Below are 21304 nucleotides of genomic sequence, written 5' to 3'. Positions count from 1 at the left end.
AATGAATGAATGAATGAATAAATAAATAAATGATTTCAGATACTATGTTTTATAACTTATTTCCCCACATAAAATAATGCTTTGATGCTTCTCTATATACAACAAAGTTGAAAAAAATTTGTCTTTTATTGCTGTAGGTAGATATAAGTCAAATAGATAAAAAGTATCAATTGAGAAACTTACCTTAAAATAAATTCACTTAAATTATCCAAAAATATTATTTCATCAATGTCCCAAAGCATTTAAAATAATACCAAACAATTTATAAATTATTATTTTAATATGGATTTTTTAAGCCATACTACTATCAGTTGTGAGATTAAAAAACATTAAGATATTAACACTAATTCTTGGCAGAGAATTATCTCTATCTTGTCATTACTTCAGGCTGAATACATTTCACTTCTTTAGAGCTAATTATATCTCCTATTTCGTATACTTTGAGATTGTCAGCACAATTTTATGTGGAAGACAGAGAAAGGAAATTTCAAGCATAAGGAAATATATTTATATTTAACAATAGAGTAATATTTGCCAGTTCAGTCTGTAATTCCATTTATGTACCAAAAGTTTTCATGAAAGAAACAAGCTAATTTGAAATATTGTTTCTCTTTTAAATCCATTTGTAAGTAGCACATATATGGGGAAATCACAGTGCTGTTAGGATAACTTCAAAGGAGAGACCAAATTTGCTTAATCTCTTTATCACCTTAAGGTGCTCCCTTAATTAGGTTGGGTTGCTATAAAGAATCCCATAGACAGTGACTTAAACAACAAATATTTATTTCTCATAATTGTAGAGGCTGGGAAGTCCATGATAAACGTATTAGTGGATTTGGTTCTTAGTGGTGGCCCCTTTCTTGGTATGCAGTTTCATTGGTTTTATTCTTCTGTTTATGGATATCCAGTTTCCCAGCACTATCCTCAATGTATGTTCTTGGTGACTTTCTCAAAATGGCTTGGCTTAAATGTGTAAATTTATTTCTGAATTTCTTACTCTGTTCCATTGGTCTATTTGTCTGTTTTAATCTCAGTATCATGTTCTTTTGGTTACTATAGCTTTGCAGTATAGTTTGAAGTAAGGTGGTGGGATGCTGTCGGTTTTGGGGTTTTTTTTTGTTGTTTGTATTTTGTTTTTGCTCCAGATTGCTTTGGCTGTCCTAGGTCTTCTGTCATTACATATGAATTTTAGGATTTTTTTTTCTGTTTCTGTAAAGAACTTCACTGGCATTTTGTTAGGGATTGCATTGAATCTGTATATTACTTTGGATAATATAAACATTTTAACACCATTATATTTTTTAGTCTATAAATATGAGATGTCTTTTAATTTTTTGTGCCTTCTTCAATTTCTGTCATCAGTGTTTTATAATTTTCATTTCAGATATCTTTCACTTCTTTGCTTAAATTTATTCCTGGGGATTTTTTGTAGCTATTGTAAATGAAATTGCTTTCTTGAATTCTTTTACAGATTGACATATAGAATTGATACTGATTTTTGTGTGTTGATTTTGTATCCTGCAATGTTCTTGAATTTATTGATCAGTTCTAAAAGTTTCTGGGGGGAGATTTTCTAAATATAAGACCATGTCATTTGCAAACAAGCACAATTTGACTTCTTTCTTTTCAATTTGTATGTCTTTTATTTCAGTCTCTTGCCTAATTGCTTTCTCTGGGTTTTCTAGTACTCTAAAATGAAAGTAAAAAGAGGTGAAAATGGGCATCCTTGTCTTGTTTCAGACCTTAGGGAAAAGGCTTTCAATTTTTCCTCATTCAGTATGATATTAGCTGTAGGTTTGTCATATGTGGTCTTTGTTGATTGAGGTACGCTCTTTTTAAACCCAGTTTATTGAGAGTTTTCATCATAAAGGGATGTTAAATTGTATTGAGTGCTTTTTCTGCATCTAATGAAATGGTCATATGGTTTTCATCCTTGAATCTGCGAATATAACATGTCATGTTTTTTGATTTGCATATGTTGAAACAGCCTTGACTCACTGGGCTGAAACTCATTTGATCATGTGAAATGATCTTTTTAGTATGTTATTGGGTTTGGTTTGCTTTTACTCTGCTGAAGATTTTTGTATCTGTAGGACTCCTTATGACTTTATAAAAAGAGCAGATAAAATAAGTGACAAAATGTACTTTCTGGAATAATAATTAAATTTAATTTTCTATAAATATATAAATACAATTACTATATCTCAGCTCTCAAAGAACTGGTACATTCCTAAGACATATTATGGGTAACATCATTTTCTCTGTCTACATTTGTTCCTAATTCTCTCATTTTCTTGGTCATATTCTGTTAAAACTTTTAATTACAATAGCTTTGGTTCATATAGGTCAGAAAAATTTATTTTTCATGTTACAGTTTCAATACAAATTGCATTACATTGCAACTTCGCACTAAAAATGCCAGGCAGGTTTTTATTATTATCTAGAGATACTATTCCTGATAATTCTTGGTGCTGCCACCTCTTTGTCTTTCTCTGTATATTTCTGAGTATATTAGAGTGTAGAAATAGGTTTACTATTTGGAAGAGCGGTTTCCAAACTGTACCAGACCCTAAAAGGAGACTTGTTGCTCCTTGAATAATACTCTCAAATCTCCTTTCTACTGATCAAGCCTATGGACAATGACTTGAATGAAATCTTAGAGGAAACCGGATAATACATGTAATAAATTCAGAGATGAAATTATACATCATGTACTGGGTGCCAAGATATAGGAAAGGGTATTTTTATGACATTCTATATTTTTTTTAAATGTTGCTTGAATAGGAAGATGGCACTTTTATATGTAGATCATTTCTAACATCTTCTTTGGTTTCGAAAAAAAGGATAATGTGCATGTAGTCGCTGCTTTGAAAATATCTCAACTTTCACATATTCTTCCTAAAAATGTGTAGAACTGTGGCTCCAAGCCTAGTATCTCAAGTGAAACAAACAAAAAACCAAGAAATAAAACCTAATTTAAAGATTAATAGTTATTAAATATTGATGCCATTTCAGGGTATCAGTTTGATAAATTATCTAGGATGTCTTTTCCTGAAACAAAATTCAAGTTGCATAAAACATAGTCATTGCATACAGAGAATGTTCGTTTGTTTCCAAAGAAAATTGTTAGGGGTTAGCATTTAAATCGTAAGTGTATAAATCTTTAACTACTTTGACGTTTCAGTTAAAAAATTGTCAGATTTTATCAAATTTTAAAATGCAAGTGTCCTTAATTATATACTGAGAGATAATATAGCTTGAAATAGTTTTCCACAGTATAATCTTGAATCAGCAAGGCCTTGATTACTTACTCAGTAGGATGCCTTTGAATTGGTTAAATCAAATAACTGTCATGTTGGACAATGCTTGTAGTACTAATGAAGTAGATGGAAGTGGGAAAAATGCCAAAATAGACTTTTGAAAAGGGAAAAAGATGACCATGAAAATTATGTATCATTCAGTTTAGGTGTAAACATCCATCTGTCCCTATTATGTTATAACAGTTTATTATTCAAATGCATACTGTGAAAGAAGAACATCAAACTGATAAGTAGTTAGTTTAATTTTTAACAAACACCAAAGATTAAAAGATAAACATTTTAGTCTTGGATAAGTCATCTGTATTTGATTAAACTAAAAAATTAAAGTGAAGAAACTTACAAGAATAAGCTTTGTTAAACGTTCTCATTTGTAATAAGGAATCCCCAGTGTGCCAAACAAATGTTTATTTTACATTTAATTACTTGCTACCAGTAATAAATAACAATTAAAATTTCCAAATATTTTGAACATTATAAAATTTTTACATGCATATAATATTGAAAGACATCAATATTTATATTATTCAAAAGGAATGATAACTTCTTTATGTCAAGAGAAGCCATTTCTGAATTAATTTAGTGAATTTAATAATTTAGTTTCTCAAAATTAAATTAATGGCTTTGATTCATCTGTCTGTTCTAGATTGCATTAATCATTTTATTTTTTACTTTTAAAATTTACATTGAAATTTAACACAATTTTCTGCAAGATCTATGAGTTTTTGTTGCTGTTAAGCTTATGATTATATGCCCTTAATTAAAAAGACACTGACCTTTCTAATCCCTTGTAATTAAAAATGTCTCAAGATTTCAGTAACTCTGTGTTCAAAATATTAAGCATCTTTGCTTTTTGTTTTTGTATATAATCTAATCATTCTTGATTTTTTTGTCAATTCTTTTGTAATAGTTCTCAAAATGTTTACTTTTTTAAAATTGTCATAATCACTAGTTCAAGGCCATGTCACCAGACACTTGTGCAATTGCTAAAATTCTTCATAGGCTCTACTTTCCTGAAGTGCCCTCTTCTTCCAATACAAATTACATAGTCCTAAGAGATTAAATCCTTAAAAATTCCTAACAACTCTCTGTTATCTAGAAGTTCAAGTCCATAGCTTTTAGTTTCATATTAAAACTATTCCTCAAACTAGTCTTAGTTTCAGCTACTAAATTTATTTTGAATTTCTTCTCTGAACAAATCATCTGTTCTTAGACTTTATCTGACCTGCACACGCATCTTCTACAGTTTTAAGCCTCTTGATAACTATGGCCTAATTTTTCCTAAACTGTTATAACAATTAACATTCCTGCCAGCAGGGTATAAGTGTTTCCATACGTCATTTCCAAAACTCCATAATTTTGTGTTTTCAATAATAGCATTTTATAATTATGTATTCATATAATAGTTGTCTTCAGAAGTTGCTAAGTTTGTAAGACAGTTAATAACAATATTAACTTGTTAAGAATAGATGTAAAATAATTATTAATATAATTAAAATATATAATTTGCTATAGTACAACCACCATAACTAAATAGTTTACATGTACTAATTCATTGAATATCCTCAGCAACTTGGTTTGATTATACAAACGAGAAAAATGCAGTCTAGGAAGATAATATCCCAAATGTACAAGACTAGCAAAGTGATGTGGTTGCACTTCAAGCCTATGTTTTAACATAGCACGTGACATGGTTGAGAATATAAAATGGGATTGTGTAGTAACTGAAATAGCTCCCTTCTTGGCATGCATTAAATGCCAAGTTCAAAATACAAAATACAAAATTCAAAATACAAATTCTGAATTCCTTGTGTGCAGAAGCATTGCTTGTTGATTTCTCTATCTAACATCTCCCAGCAAAAGACATAGGACATATAAATGTTCAATAAACGCTTTCTTAATTGAGCAATTATTTTGTCCTTCATACACCAGACACAAACATACTCACACTTTTTTTCTTTACAAATTTTTAATCTCTTTTCCCCACCTAGAAACAAAAAAGAACATTTATTTTAATATGAAAGGTACTTTTTTTCAGCCACAGTTTGGATTTATTGACACTTTTTTTCAACTACTGTCTGGAATTATTCTAAGAAATTTGATCCATTAAAATTACATTTTGATTGTTTTAATAAATAGTTATTAAGTATCTATAATATTTCAGATACTCTTGTAGTTTCTGGGGAGACAGCAGTGACATTTCTAAAGCAAAAAATTCCTTGGCCTTATGGAATCTAGATTCTAATAGAGGAGACACACAATAAACAACATAAATAAGCAAAATGTATACTGTTAGACAACTGTAGTGATGAATACTTAGAAGAAAAGCAGAGAAGGGATAAAGTAGAGTATGCGCAGAGGTGTGGAGCTTTAGATTGACTTGCCAGGTAGAACTTCATGGAGAAAACTTAGAATAAGAATATGAAAGATGTACACAATCCAATCACATAGATTTCTTAGGACAGAATATTGCAAGCAGAGGAGAAAGAAATACCAAAGTTGGAGGTGGTTGTGTGTTTGAAATTGCCAAAGAAAAATAGAATGTGAGGGTGATGAACTTGAGAGGAGGAGAAGACAAAGTACAAGAGATGAATAGGTAACAGCCTTGGAGCCCATCAGCAGGATTCATCTTCACTTCCCAGAGAGGTAGGGGGCTGATGTAGAGTTTTGAACACAGGACCGATACAATCCACGGTATGTAAACAGGCTCTCTTTTTCTGCCTATTTTATTGACAAAAGGTTTATGAGAGAAGGACTGGAGAAGGGAGATTTCTAAGGATGTTAGTATAATAATGTAGGCAAAAAATAATGGAGTATTAGATGCAGGAGGTCATAAAGAGGTGGACAGGAAGATATATTTTAAAGATATAATAATGTGATTCACTGACAGTGTGATCTGAGGTGTTAAAGAAAGAGAGCAGTCAGGGATGATTTCAAGATATTTGAACTAAACAATGGAAGGAATGGAGTTCTATTTACTGAGATGAGGAAGATCATTAAAGAAGTTATTACAGGGGTAGGTAGCGCAGTGGGATACAATATGAGGAGCCTGGTTTGGGGGATTTAAGTTTAAAGTAGAAAAGTCTACTAGACTCCAACAATCATTTCCCACGCCATCCTCCAGTAACAGGCTAGTTTAGGCTAACCTCACCTCTCCATGAGTGATTGCAACAATTCCTTTTTCTTTTTTGTTTTATATTTATTTATTTATTTATTTATTTTGAGATGGGGTCTTGCTATGTTGCCCAGGCTGGTCTTGAACTCTTGGGGTCAAACTATCCTCCCACCTCAGCCTTCTAAAGTGCTGGGATTATAGGTGTGAGCCACCATGCCCAGCTTATAATTCCTGACTATTCTTTTTTTCTTCTAGCTTCCTCCATTACTGTGTCAATTTGAACAACATGATTGCAAACTTAAATTAATGGATATAGAAAGGACTCTAATTTCTCAAATTGCAATAAGTGCATTATTTTCAAACACACAGAACATAAACAAAATAATAACCATGTTTTAGGCCTAAAGTTTGTTTCATTAAACTTCAGAAACTTAAAATAATATAGAAGATTTAATCTGACCATAATATAATAAAACAAGATGAATATACAAAAGTAACTAGAGAAAATCATATGTTCTTAAATGAGACAATATATTTCTAGATAACTCAGAGGTCAGAGAAGAAATCACAGTCAATATTGGAAACTATTCATAAACAAATGATTATTAGTGCTTACATGCTACATATTAACATTTTTTGGCATACTTAAAGGCAATTATGTCCTTAGCCATATGTATTGGGAAAGAAGAAACACTAAAATTCAATTGGAAATTTAGAACAAAGCAAATAAACAGCACTGCCAATCCAAAATAAAAGTAAAAGAAAAAAGATAATGAAAACAACAGAACATGGTGAAACAGAAAACAGTCGTGGGACAAAAGGATTAACAAAGGCAAGAATGATTTGATGAAAAGATTTTTAAAGACAATAAAATATTGGTAAAACTTTAGAAGAATAAAAGAAGAGGTCATAATTAAGCAATATCAGTAATAAATAGGAGAGAATACTAAAAATCAACCAGATAATAAAATAACGATATAATATAACAGCAAATATTATATTATTATATCACTGATGTATATATTATATATAATAAATAATATGATAATAGTACGGTTAATCTTATGCAGGTTAATTTCCAAATTTAGATGAAACTGAATGATTCTGAAATCAAAATCCATACTGACAACCAATACTGACCAATTAAAAATGAAAATATGAACAGTTCCATTGAAATAAAAGCATTAGTAACATATTTTCACAAAGAAAACCCTATGCTTAGGTTATTTGACCAGCAATTGCACCTGAAATATTTAAAAAGAAATAATGGATTTTCCCACAGACTCTAGGAGTAAATAAAAAAAGAGAGAACGCTCTCAAGTCACTTTATAAAGTTAGCCCTTGACAGCAAAACCTGAAAGATATTATAAAAAATAATGTTTACACGTCAACCTATTCATTAATTAGATGCAAACGTTTAAAAATATATATTGAATCAAATACAATAAACATTAAAAAATGATGCTGAGACAGGAGAGTTCTCTGACCCCCTCGTGAGGGGAGGGGGTGGCTGGTTTTGATCATAGGTCGAGCTCAAACCTTTTGTGGCAGCAGGCGCACCCAGGGAGTGGGCGGGTGAGGGAGCCGGAGTGAGTGCCTTTAGGCTCCGGCAGGAATGACACCTGTACCAGCCAGCAGCAGTGTCTAGCGGTTGTCTGCAACCTCTGGAGCCCCAGAGGGCATGTGTTACAAACAATGCAGTTGCGGTCGGCAAATAGCTTAAGTGTTAACCAGCCCAGTGGAGAGTCAGGGTGACATACACCCTGCCCTCTTGGTACCTGGGTTCTTGTCTGACATCCAGGAAGAATCAGGTCACAGGGACTTAACGGACAGTGAATGCAGAGATTTTATTGAGTGTGGAAGTGGTTCTCAGTGGGATGGGATGCTGGAAAGCTGATGGAGTGGGACGATAATCTTCCCTGGAGTTGGGAAATGGCCGAACTCCTCTCCCACCGTCCAGCTGCTTCTTCGACTTTCATATCCTTCTCTTCTCTCCTTCTCTGCCACGCCACTCTGCCGCGATTCTGCTCTTGGAGCCTGGAGTTTGAGGTTCTTATGCGCACAGCATAGTGAGTAGGGCAGGCCAGAGTGGTCTTGGAAAAGGCAACATTTGGGCGGAAAAACAGGAATGCCTGTTCTCATTTAGAGCCATAGCTCCAGGCTTGAGGGTGGAGCCCTCACCAGGGACCCCACCTTCTGCCTCCTGTCCATACCAATACTGTTTTTTTGTTTGTTTGTTTGTTTGTTTGTTTTTACTATTTTGGGTTTATTACAGAATTACAAGTTTATTTTAGTATTGAAATGTCAATTGATGAAATGTACTGCATTAACATAACAAAAAAATCACACAATCAACAGAAGATACAGAAAAAGGATTTGATAAATTCAACAACTGCTCATGCTAAAGAAAAAACATATTACAAGACAAATATTACACAGGAGCTTCCTTATGACAAAGTGTGTCTATAGCATTCTATGAGCCTGGTATTTAATGGTGAAAACGTTTCCTTTGAGAGCAGGAAAAAAAATAGACGTCTACTACTATATCTCCCTGCTTTTTACAAATGTAACAGATGTTATTGCCAGCACAGCATAGCAAGAAAAAGAAATAAAAGTTATATAATTGAAATGCATAAGTAAATATATCATTATTGGAAGATTTTACAAGCATGTACCTTAAAAATTCAAAAGTTTACAAATACATTACTGGAATTAAGATGTTATTTGTAAAATGTGGCCAGAGTTTAATATAAAGTGTCTGTTTTATTTCTAAACATAAACGTCTGAATAATTAAATGGCTATCAATCTATATATATAGCAACAATAGTTTTAAAATATTTCAAATAAATATAACTTGATATTATGAAAGATGTGGAAGACCTTTATGACCTCTATGCAAAGGAATAAAAAGTTATTAGTAGAAATGTTTGAAACCTAAATAAGTGGATTAAAAATATCTTCATGTTTTAAAAGACTAGTACAAAATAGATTCTCTCCCAAATGTTTATATAACCAATGCAATCCCAATTAAAACTTGATAAGTTGATCTAAAGTTAGTATACAGCAAAGCAGTTAGAATAACCAAAAAAAATTGAAAAAGAAAAACAAATTGGAAAGACTTATTCTAATTAATTTTAAAAGCTATTATGAAGTTACATTAAGCATTAAGTCATTTACTATGATATAAGAAAGGATTCTCTATGTAATAAATGGTGCTGGGAAAACTGGCTAGCCATAAGCAGAAAGCTGAAAAACTGGATCCCTTCCTTACACCTTATACAAAAATTAATTCAAGATGGACTAAGACTTAAATGTTAGACCTAAGACCATAAAAACCCTAGAAGAAAACCTAGGCAATACCATTCAGGACATAGGCATGGGCAAGGAATTCATGACTAAAACACCAAAAGCAATGGCAACAAAAGCCAAAATTGACAAATCTAATTAAACTAAAGAGCTTCTGCATGGCAAAAGAAACTACCATCAGAGTGAACAGGCAACCTACAGAATGGGAGAAAATTTTTACAATCTACTCATCTGACAAAGGGCTAATATCCAGAATCTACAAAGAACTCAAACAAATTTACAAGAAAAAAAAAAAACAACCCCATCAAAAAGTGGGTGAAGGATATGAGCAGACACTCCTCAAAAGAAGACATTTATGCAGCCAAAAGACACATGAAAAAATGCTCATCATCACTGGCCATCAGAGAAATGCAAATCAAAACCACAATGAGATACCATCTCACACCAGTTAGAATGGCAATCATTAAAAAGTCATGCACTCAAAATTTTAGACTTCTGTTCATTAAGAGTATAAAGAGGATAAAAAGACAAGCTAAGGAGAGGGATAAGGTATTTATCACACATGTGACAAACAAATAGCTTATCATAATATACATAAGTAAGAAAAAGGTGATCCCATAGAAAGTGAACAAGATATTTGGATAGGCACTGGGTTTATGGAATTGGTGGCATGAAGGGAAATTTTGTGTTCTATCTGTGTTGGCATGAAGGGAAATTCTGTGGTCTGTCAGTGTTGACTTCTTGACCTGGGTAGTCGTAGTTCCACAGATGTTCACTTCGTGAAAGAATGCATCTGTACAAAATCTGCACAATTTCAATCTGCAAAGTTTTCTGTACTTTATTTTTTATAATTATTAAATGTTCTAAAAGCAAGATTATTTCACTTCCAGTAATAAAAGAATTGTTGAGGAGACTCTTCAATGTGGAAATCAAAACCAGCAATTGAGGGTAAATTTCAATAATTTCCAAGAAGAAATAAGGGCCTGAACAAAGAGAGAGCCAGTAGAAACAGGAAGAAAGGAAACCATTTCAGTGATAGTACGAAGTTATAAACACGGCTTGACCATTAAAGTGGGGAGATAAGGTAGAGGAAAGAATTTATTTAGAATGACTCACAGGTCTTGAGTGTATTGCTGGAAAATTATTCATTTGCTGGAAATATTAATGAATAGGTTATATTTATGTCCTGCTAAGAATACCGAGAGAGAACTGGAGAAGCAGATATAAATTCAGTAATTCTACATTTTATTTGCAAACTGTTGAAACTGAGCTTAAGGCTTATGTCATTAGACTCGAATTCTTAACCCAGAAATACCAGATAGCCTGAACTGGAGTGTACTAAAGGAATGGTACCATTATTGTAGAAAGACATTAACATTTCAGCTTGCAACATGGGTCTTATCAATAATTAAGTTTCTTTACAGTGCAAATAAAATGAGATCACAAAAAAGAGTAAAAATGATTCTTCTTGGAAGCAGTTGAGTTTAATTAGCTCTTTATAAGCAGTGTAATAATTGGCAGCATTCAGATTGCTGACAGCTTCACTTCTCACTTCTTTATTTTGCTCCCTTCTTTCTTCCCCTCACTTCTTTTAAAGGAAGATCAAAGCCTGTATAGCTGAGTGAATGCTAATGGTGCATACATTTATTTGAAAAGCTTTAAGGCCTTGAAAATCTGCACGTAAGATTTTTTATTTTCAAATGTCTGCCTGTAAGTGTATTTGACACTATTAACAGGAATAATCTCTGCTTTTATTCCCCCGTCCTTTTTAAAAGAAAACAAGTCTAATTTTGGAAATGTTGATTAAAATGAGAGTTACATAACCTTTTTGATCCTCCACAAAATAGGTACTTTGAACCACGACTTGCCATAGAGTTAATGAGTCTCTTCCTCATGCATATGTACTTTCCTCCACATTGTACGCTGCATGAGGAGGGGCCTGAGCCTACCATACAAGCTTGGGAAAATGATTAAACTCTCTTGTTGGTGAATATATAACTCTGACAGGTGGGAGGTGTTGCTGTTGCAGTTTGTAAAGAAAGAATGGAATATTTTCCGCTGGACAAAAATTTCCCGGATTCTTACATGAACAAAATGCCTTCCTCTCTTCTCAAAGTAATAAGAATTACCCATGGCAACTTTGCAAAAGTAGTCCAGAGTTTTATCAGAAAATAGAAACTGATAAATAATTGTGCTTAGAGGAATTAATTTTCTGAAGCATTGGCAGAAACTTACGACGTTTGCTTCTTGGACTTCACTCTCTGGATATACATTATAGTGGGATATTTAGTGTTGCTGAATATTATGCTTAAGTCAAATTTCAAGGGTTAATATATACACTTCAATACTTTGCCTGAGAAAGAGAAAGTTTTAAGTTAATAGTTGTTCTTATTATTTTTGTTGAAGAAGGAGAGAAAGAAAAAGAGGAAGGAAGGGAAAGTAGAAGAAATACAGTATCTACAGCATTCGGTAATTTAGAGAAGCTGTATTAATTTTTTTCTGGTAACATCTCACATTACTGTCTTAAAGAATGGCTGCATGGAATTAAATGATAATTTACTAATTAGAAAGCATGCAAACAAAAGTTAGTATAGCCAAACTAAACAGGAGAACTAGAAAAAAACTGCCTTAAAATATCTGGCCCTTGTCCTATCTATTATAAGAAGATATACTGCACAGTTTATTAGTCTATACAACAGAATGTTAAAAAGCAAAGCATTTCAACTAAGTTTCCAAAACATTAAACCCCAGTTTCTCCCTAATTTTAAAATAAAGTTCAATAAAACACCTATGCGGTGTGTGCCAAGGGTGGGGGTTAACACCTTTGTGGTCTTGGCTCTTAACCCTTTCACCTGTTTAGATGGTAAAATTGAGGAGGTAGGAATGTTGGAATTTGGAGGAATTCTTTAGAGTGGGTTTACTGTGCATACTGGAAACTCATCCACCACAAATACACACAGAAAACCAGTAGAGACCAGGAGATTTTCCTTTAAAAGGAGTATAGGATTTTTACTACTTTATAGTACTAAGCACATTAACATAATAAAAGAACATTATGAATTGAGACTGTCTGAGAGATTAACACCACCAAAGAGTATTTTATTATCTGAGAGCATCTAGAAAAATCTCTTGATTGTATGCACCAATGTAAGCAAGAACTATCTAATAGAGAATGGCTATGCTGGGGCAATCATTAAAGAAGAAAATATAATTTCTAATCATACCCGATGAATCCCACTTATGCAATATACTGGTTATAGTGTATTTCAAGGACCAAAATTTGCTTTCTGATTAAACTTGCAGAAGACTCCATATGTTCAAATCTTCAGGACTATATTCTGGCAAAACTAAATCTAACTAAGGAATTTAAACAGGAGTGCCTTGTCCTCAATTCTATTCTTGTTGAACAACTTTTGTTATTTAATATATGAATAATCGCTATGGGTCTCTATGGTAACAAAGAAGTGTTTTGGCAGTGATTGGAGAGGCACAGATGATTGAAAGGACGATAAGAATTATTATTATTTTTTTAAAAATTCCAGGCCCCCTGCCAATATTTTTAAAAAACCATCTCTCTCAAACCTTATGATTTTATTTAACTGCAAAACATTGAAAAGGAAGCACTCCCTTGGTGGGGAAGGCTACTTTGTAATGCAGACACTTCTGGAGTATTTTGTAATATGTTGGCAATGAATTAATGTTAATGGGTTATTATTCTTTTTAAAACTTAGATTGAGGACTGATTAATAAAAAGTATCATAACCAATTCTTATTAAGCACTTACTATGTGCCAAACTCTGAGCTCAGCTTCTCACGTGGATTATCCCATTTAGCCCTTACAACTACCATATATTGTAGGCACCCTTGAAATTCTCATCCTGCTTACTTAATAGGAATACTAGAATGCAAAAAGTTATGTAAATTTCTCAAAGTTACACACATTAAAATTTTATTTAATCTGACACCAAACTCCATGTTCTTAATAATTTTGTTGCATTATCTCCTTCACTTTCCCACATTACAAACATGAGATGGTTGGAACATCCAGAAATACTAATAAAATAAACACACACTTGTTGTATGAGTTTGAGTACACATTGTGTGTTTTTGTAGGGTGCATGTGTGTGTGTTTCCATAAATCTTAAAGAATTCTACATATCTAATGTAATCCTTTCCATTAAGACTCTATAGGATCACATTTCTTCTTTATGAGTTTACCCAATGAAAAAGTAGCCACTTCAAACACCTGTCTGTTAAACATGGAATTTATTCCTCATATATAAAATGATAATTACAAAGATATCCCATTTAGTAAGATCACATCTCAGCTTGTGCTGTGTCAGAAAACTTTGGGTGCTTTCTTAAACTTCTTTTATTTTTTTCTTGCTGTTGCTGCATTCCTACTTCTGGCCTCCAGAGCTCAGTCAAGAATGGCTGCAGAATGGGTGTGAGGACTATATGTAGATGCCCAAGGCTACACTAAATTTGTTGCATCTGCTATTTGCTTGGGTTGCATCTTTCCTTCGGAGTCCAAACTACAGGCAAGTCTCATTTTGTTGCACTTTGCTTTATTATGCTTTGCAGATACTGCACTTTTTACAAATTGAAGGTTTGTGGCAACCCTGTGTCTAGCAAGTATATTTGCACTATTTTTCCAATAGCGTGTGCTCATTTTGTGTCCCTGTGTCACACTTTAGTAATTATCACTGATATGGTTCAGCCCTGTGTCCCCACCTAAATCTCATGTCTAATTGTAATCGTCACATGTCAGGAGAGGGACCCAGTGAGAGGCGATTGGATCATGGGGGCAGATTTTCCCCATGCTGTTCTTGTGATAGTGAGTTCTCAGGAGATCTCATGGTTTAAAAGTGTGGCACTTCCACCTTCGCTTACTCTCTCTCTTGCTGCCATAGTAAGAAGTACTTGCTTCCCCTTCACCTTCTCCCATGATTGTAAGTTTCCTGAAGACTCCCAGTCATGCTTCCTGTTAAGCCTGCAGAACTGAGTCAATTAAACCTCTGTTCTTCATAAATCACCCAGTCTCAGGTAGTTCTTTATAGCAGTTTGAAAAAAGACTAATACACTCACAATATCTCAAGCTCTTATTATTATATCTGTCATAGTGATCTGTGATGAGTGGTCTTTGATGTTAATATGGCAACTCTTTTAATTAATATGTTAATATGGTAACTGTCACCATGCACCACACCCAAATAAGACGGCAAACTTAATTGATGAATGTTGTGTGTGTTCTGACTGCCCTGGGACTGACCATTCCTCATCTCTCTCTCTCTCTTCTCAGGCCTCCCTATTCCCTGTGACACAACACTGTTGAAATTAGGCCAATTAATAACTCTGCAATGACCTGTAAGTGTTCAAATGAAAGGAAGAGCCGCATATCTCTCTTTAAATAAAAAGCTAGAAAATATTAAGTTTTGTGAGGAAGGCATGTCAAAAGCCATGATAGGCTGAAAACTAGACCTCTTGTGCCAAACAGCCAAGTTCTGAATACAAAAGTAACATTCCCAAAGAAAAGTAAAAGTGCTACTCCAGTGAACACACAAGTGATAAGAAAGCAACACAGCCTTATTGCTGATGGAGAAAGTTTTAGCGATTTGGATAAAAGACCAAATTGGGCATAACATTCTCTTAAACCAAAGCCTAATCTAGTGCAAGACCCCAACTTTCTTCAATTCTGTGAAGGTTGAAAGAGGTAAGAAATGTCAAAATAAAAGTTTGAAGCTAGTAGAGCTTGGTTTATGAGGTTTAAGAAAAAGCCATCTTAATATAAAAGTGCAAGGTGAAGAAGAAAGTGCTGTTATAGAAGCTGTAGCTTCTATAAGTTATTTAGAATATCTAGATAAGGTAATTGTTAAATGTAGCTACGCTAAACAATGGATTTTTAACATAGAAAAAACTGACTTGGAAGAGGAAGCCATCTAGGACTTCCATAGCTATAAAGGAGAAATCCATGCCTGGGTTCAATGCTTCAAAGGACAGGCTGACTCTCTTGTTAGGGCTAATGCAGCTGGTGACTTGCAGTTGAAGCCAATGCTCATTTATCATTTCAAAAACTCTAGTGCCTTCAAGAATTATGCCAAATTGACCGTACCTGTGCTCTATAAATGCAACAACAAAGACTGTATGAAAGCACAATTGTTTATAGTGTGGTTTACTGATTATTTTAAGCCCACTGTTGAGACCTACTGCCAGAAAAAAAAGATTCCTTTCAAAATATTATTATAGGCAATGTGCCTAGACACTCAAGAGCTCTGAAAATGATGTGCAAGAAGACTAACATTGTTTCCATGCCTGGTAACACAACATCTATTCTGCAGCCCATGGATCAATGAGTCATTTTGACATTCAAGTTTTTTTATTTAAGAAGCACATTTTATAAAGCTCTAAATTCCATAGATAATGATACCTCTGATGAATGTGGACAAAGTAAATTAAAAACCTTCTGGAAAGGATTGACCATTCTAGCTTCTATGAAAAACATTCATGATTCATTAGAGGAGGACAAAATATCAATATTAAAAGGTGTTTGGAAGAAGTTTATTCCAACCCTGATGGATTATTCTGAGGAGATCAAGACTTCAGTGAAGGAAGTAACTGCAGATGTGGTGGAAATAGCAAGAGGACTGGAATTAGAAGTGGAACCTGATGATACTGGGTTGCCGTAATTTCATTATAAAACTTGAACAGATGAAGAATTGCTTCTTACGGATGAGCAAAGAAGTTGGTTTATTGAAATAAAATCTACTCCCGCTGAAGATGGTGTGAACTTTTTGAAATGCTGACAATGGATTTAGAGTATTATATCAATTTGGTTGATAAAAAGTAGCAGGGTTTCAGAGGATTGATTCTAGTTTTGAAAGAATTTCTACTGTGCATAAAATGCTACCTATCAAACAGCATCAAATGCTACAGAGAAATCTTCCATGAAAGGAAAAGTCAATTGATGTGAGAAACTTGTCTTATTTTTAAATTTTTTCACAGCCACTCCAACTTAAGGAATCATCACTCTGATTGGTCAGCAGCCATCTACATGGAGGCAAGATCCTTCACTGGCAAAAAGATTATGATTCATTGAAGGCTCAGATGATCATTAGCATCTTATAGCAATAAAGTATTTTTCAACTAACATATGCAAATTATTTTTTCTTAGACATAATGCTTTTGCACAATAGGCTACAATATAGTGTACACATAACTTTTATATGCACTTGGGGGTCAAAAAGTTTCTATTACTTGTTTTATTGTGGTGCTCTGGAACTGAACCTACAATATCTCTGAGGTATTCCTGCATATAAGTTGGTGAAACTGCACCTTCTCTTGGCTAACCTAATAACTGAATCTACAACATGAGTCTTCCCTTTCATGGAGGTCTATCACTATCTTCTGTGCCACCTTGGCATGAATTAAAGGTCACCCTTTCTGTGGGAGAAAAATCCCTGCATCAGAATATAGCCCGAAGAGGGGAGCTTAGGTTAGATTGACCAGGTGTGTGTCATTGTACAGTAAACATCTTGGTCAAAAAGTTTGTAATAGTCCTTATTCCTTCTCAGAGTTCTGAGGCACAAAGCAGCTATAAAATTGAGAGTCTCAGATCTCATATGCTTCCTATTCCTGGTTAACAACAATATTCCTCCTTAATAATCCATAGTTAGAAGAGCCTTAAGAAGAAAATTATGAAACCAGGCTGGTTGATAGAAATGTTGAAAAAAGAAACAACTGACTTTGCTTTTTTTGTATTCCCTCTGTCCATTACTAGAAAATAAATCCCATAGAATCTTTTATTCTTTTTCCAGTGTAATGGTTCTCAACTTTGGTTGAATACTGGAATTACCTGGAGAAACTTGAAAACTCTTAATCATTGGGCTCTATCCCAGACCAGTGAGATCAGAAACTAAGAGGACAGAACCTAAGCATCTGTATTCTTTAAGAGCTTCAGATAATAGCCATGAGCAAAGCTGAGAACCACTGATGATTTGAATCATTGGGAGGTGGTGTAAGAATAAAACTGTACAATCTTCTTCCTTCCTTGGATCACATCTCACCATAATGAGTTTGTGTGACTCAAGTGATTTATTTATAACATAAAAGGTCTATCTTATTATTTCAAAAAGTTTAACTATAGAATTTAACTCAAGTCGTTTAAGTCCCTCTCTTCAAGGTTATCAAATGGCTAAATGCACAATGTTGGTAACCAATTATAAAATGCATTATAGATAGTATATTTCTTTTTCCTAGAAAGTTCTTTCTGAATAGTAGCAAATGAACATTACCTGGGTATGAAAGAGGAGGTTTCCCTAACATAAATGTTACTGAAGAAAACATTAGGCCTCAATTAGCCTTTTTAACACCATTAACTATAATAATTAGCAAAAGGAAAAAAGACAGTTTTATAACCTACAGTTTCCTTCAAGAAATAGCTATTTAATAATTCATAAACAATCCATCTGCAGAAAATATAATGGTATAGATAGCAATGTCTTTACTAGGCTGCAGCACTATCATAGTGTATCAGCAAACTGCAGTTAACAGAACAAATATTTTTGGCTGTAGAGGGATAGGCTCTCCAAACACAAATTAATCTCCTTAATGGATTTTCCTTACCTTCATGAAAAATGCATTATGGGTTCTTAAGTCACACTCAACACATTGTTAGGGTTTTTTATGATGTGGGGTTGGCACAAAGATGATTTTTCTTTCACACTGTGGGTAAAAAAACAATGAGCTGGGTGGTTTGGAGCCAGACTATTTAATCACTAGGTAAGGACTGATTACCCAGAGAAGTTGCATATTCTTAAGCACCCTCTTTCTGTAAGAGATCCTTAAATTTTGTTGAGAGGTAGAAAAAAGAAATTGCATCGTGGGGCTTAACATTCGTGAAATTTTCAAAATGTCAAAAAACTGTTCCTGTGGGCCTCCTTATTAATTGTTTTGATTTTCTTAAAAGCCGACCAAAGGAAAATTGTCCTGATGCACTTGAAAATGCCTCTGCTCATGCCCAACCTTTTTCCTGTCTAAGTATTCAATGCAGTGAGGGTAACTTGGAATGCAAACAAAAGTTGACTGTGGCCAGAAAGGCACAGCACACTTCCAATATTATGTTTGTTTTGAAGCGTCTTTATATCTAAGCATTATTTTTAAGCATGTGTTTATTTCATAACGTAGATTTTTAATGTGGATGATCATTCATCTAGGACTGAATACCCAATCTAACTATGTCATATGCATTAAGTAGCTACATTAATGCTGCTTCAGGTACATCAAGACAGGCAAACGAACTTCCATTGCTGTGCCCCTTAAGGAATTTAATTAGACACTGCAAGCCATAAGAGTCTGGTAAGAATTTTCAGAGGGCAGGTGTGTGGCATTCATGATACCATCCACAGTTTTATGGTAGAACATGCCTTGCCTTTTTTTTCCAGTTTCCTCAGTTTCAGTTGTCTAAAATTGTTTCGAAACCACTGAGTTTTTATTTTCTTTTAAGCAGAGGTCAACAATCAGCCTTCAGATGGTTCAAATTAGTCAACATAGATCAGAGCTGAACCCATGCCCTAGAAGTGAACGTAACTTCTCCTGTGAGAAATCACCTGGCAGCGGGCTACAAGGTGAGAGAATCATTACAGCTGTGGAGAGGATTGCTCTTTGAAATGGCAGGAATCACACTGAGTTTGCAGCACAGGATCTTTCAGTAAATATTGCTACTACCTAGTGGTGCTCTTTCTCAGTAGATGAATTTAGGACATTGACAACCAGTGATAATCATCTCAGGGATTTACTGTATCCCAGAATTTTAGGCAAAATGTTTTCCAAATAAATCACATGAAGAAAATGTATGACCTAGATATTTAGGATTGTCAACTTGTAACTTATGTGATGATTATATTTCGTCATAAAACCAAGCGCAGAAGAGTTAGAAGGGCATTTCAAAATTTTATGAGAATTTAACTAAATAAAGGAATTGAGACAATCATATTCAAATTCAAGAGGCAATTCAAATTATGGCAGAGAACCGCTGCTGTGACTATTGTGTCTTAGAGTAATTTGTATTAGTTATATAATGTTGGAACTATTTTTTTAATTAACTGTCTGCAGCAACCTATAATTTTAGAGTTTATCATGAACTCTAAACTCATGAAAAATCTAATGTGCACTATGACCTTAATTTTCCAAACTTCACAGTTAGTAACTTTTCTAGTATAGAGGCTAAAAGTCAATGCTCCTTTTTACAGCATACTAAATAAAATATTTTACCTCTCAAACACCAGTTTAATAATTGCCTATTTCATTTTCCAAACACTTTCATTCCCAAATGAATATATTAAAATCTAGAAAACAAATAAGCCTTTTTCTTCAATTTGCTTCACTCTAATCTATTGTTAATAAAACAATAAATCATATCAAAAATTAGGTCATGTAAATCTGTTTCTTAAATTTAAGCAGAACAAACAACCAACATTTCCAGGATTCTTCATTGCATTAGTAAAAAACCGATTCTTAATACAAGAGCCTGAACAAGCTAGAACTGATGTCTGCCTCACTCATGAAGCTCTGCCACTGTTCACTCTTCAATCACAGATCACTGGCCATTACAGTAGTCTGAATAATAGTCCCCAAAGATGTCCATATCCAAATCCCAAGGACCTGTGAGTGTAATACCTTACATGTGAAAGGGATTTTGCAGATGTGATTAAGCATCTTGAGATAGGAAATTATTCTGGATTATCCAGTTGGGCCTAATATAAAAACATGCAACCTTATAAGAGAGATGGAGGAGGATTAGAGTCAGAGAGAGATGTAAACATGGAAGCAGAGATCAGAGAGAAGGTTTGATCTCTGCTGACTTTGAAGATGGAGTAAGGCACCTTGAGCCCAGGATTACAGGTGGTTTCTAGAAGCTGGAAAAGGCAGGGAGATGGATTCTCCCCTAGAGCCTTCAGAAGGAATGCAGGCCTGCTGACACCTTGATTTTAGCTCAGTAAAACAGATTTTGGACTTATGACCTGCAGAAATGTAAAATAATAAAGTTTTGTCATTTTAAGCCCCTAAATTCATGGTAAACAGTTAAAGCAGCAATAGGAAATGTAGGTAGACACACTGCTGTCTTTCATTTGCTGGCATACACAAAACTCCTGCATAACTCAGAGATTTGCTATGTCTCCGCACTCTAAGATGTGTGAAGTAGGGTCTCTATGTCTTCTTCACCCTGGTCTTCTGGATAAATGAGGCACTGAATAAATATTTGTTGAATAAATGAATGATCAGATTAGAATCTGGGAAGGCAAATGTATTTACTTGGGGAATGGTTTAGGAGAGTGACTCTTCTTGTCTTACTTAGGATTGTTAATGTATAAACAAGAAACTAGGAAGTACCCACAATATATGATTCATGCAGGCTTTTTCAGCTTTATCTCTTTTCTCTGTTTTTACACAGAATGCCCTTTACTGAAGGAATATAGAAAGGAAGTGATGAACGCAAAAGGGTATAAATCATTCACCTTTATTAGTAAGTGCTAATTAAGTCATGGATTACTTCAAACATGACCAACC

General features: G+C 34.0%; 1 annotated feature.

Annotated features, from left to right (window-relative positions):
* Positions 10394 to 12576: an enhancer, noted in NCBI's record as "VISTA enhancer hs1389". NCBI's record gives its function as "enhancer in: forebrain[4/6] | ear[5/6]" and the evidence as "EXISTENCE:transgenic organism evidence [ECO:0001131][PMID:17130149]".

Source organism: Homo sapiens, chromosome 4, assembly GCF_000001405.40.
Source record: "Homo sapiens chromosome 4, GRCh38.p14 Primary Assembly".
NCBI classification, from domain to species: domain Eukaryota; kingdom Metazoa; phylum Chordata; class Mammalia; order Primates; family Hominidae; genus Homo; species Homo sapiens.
This window is presented reverse-complemented; position numbering and strand designations above follow the sequence as displayed.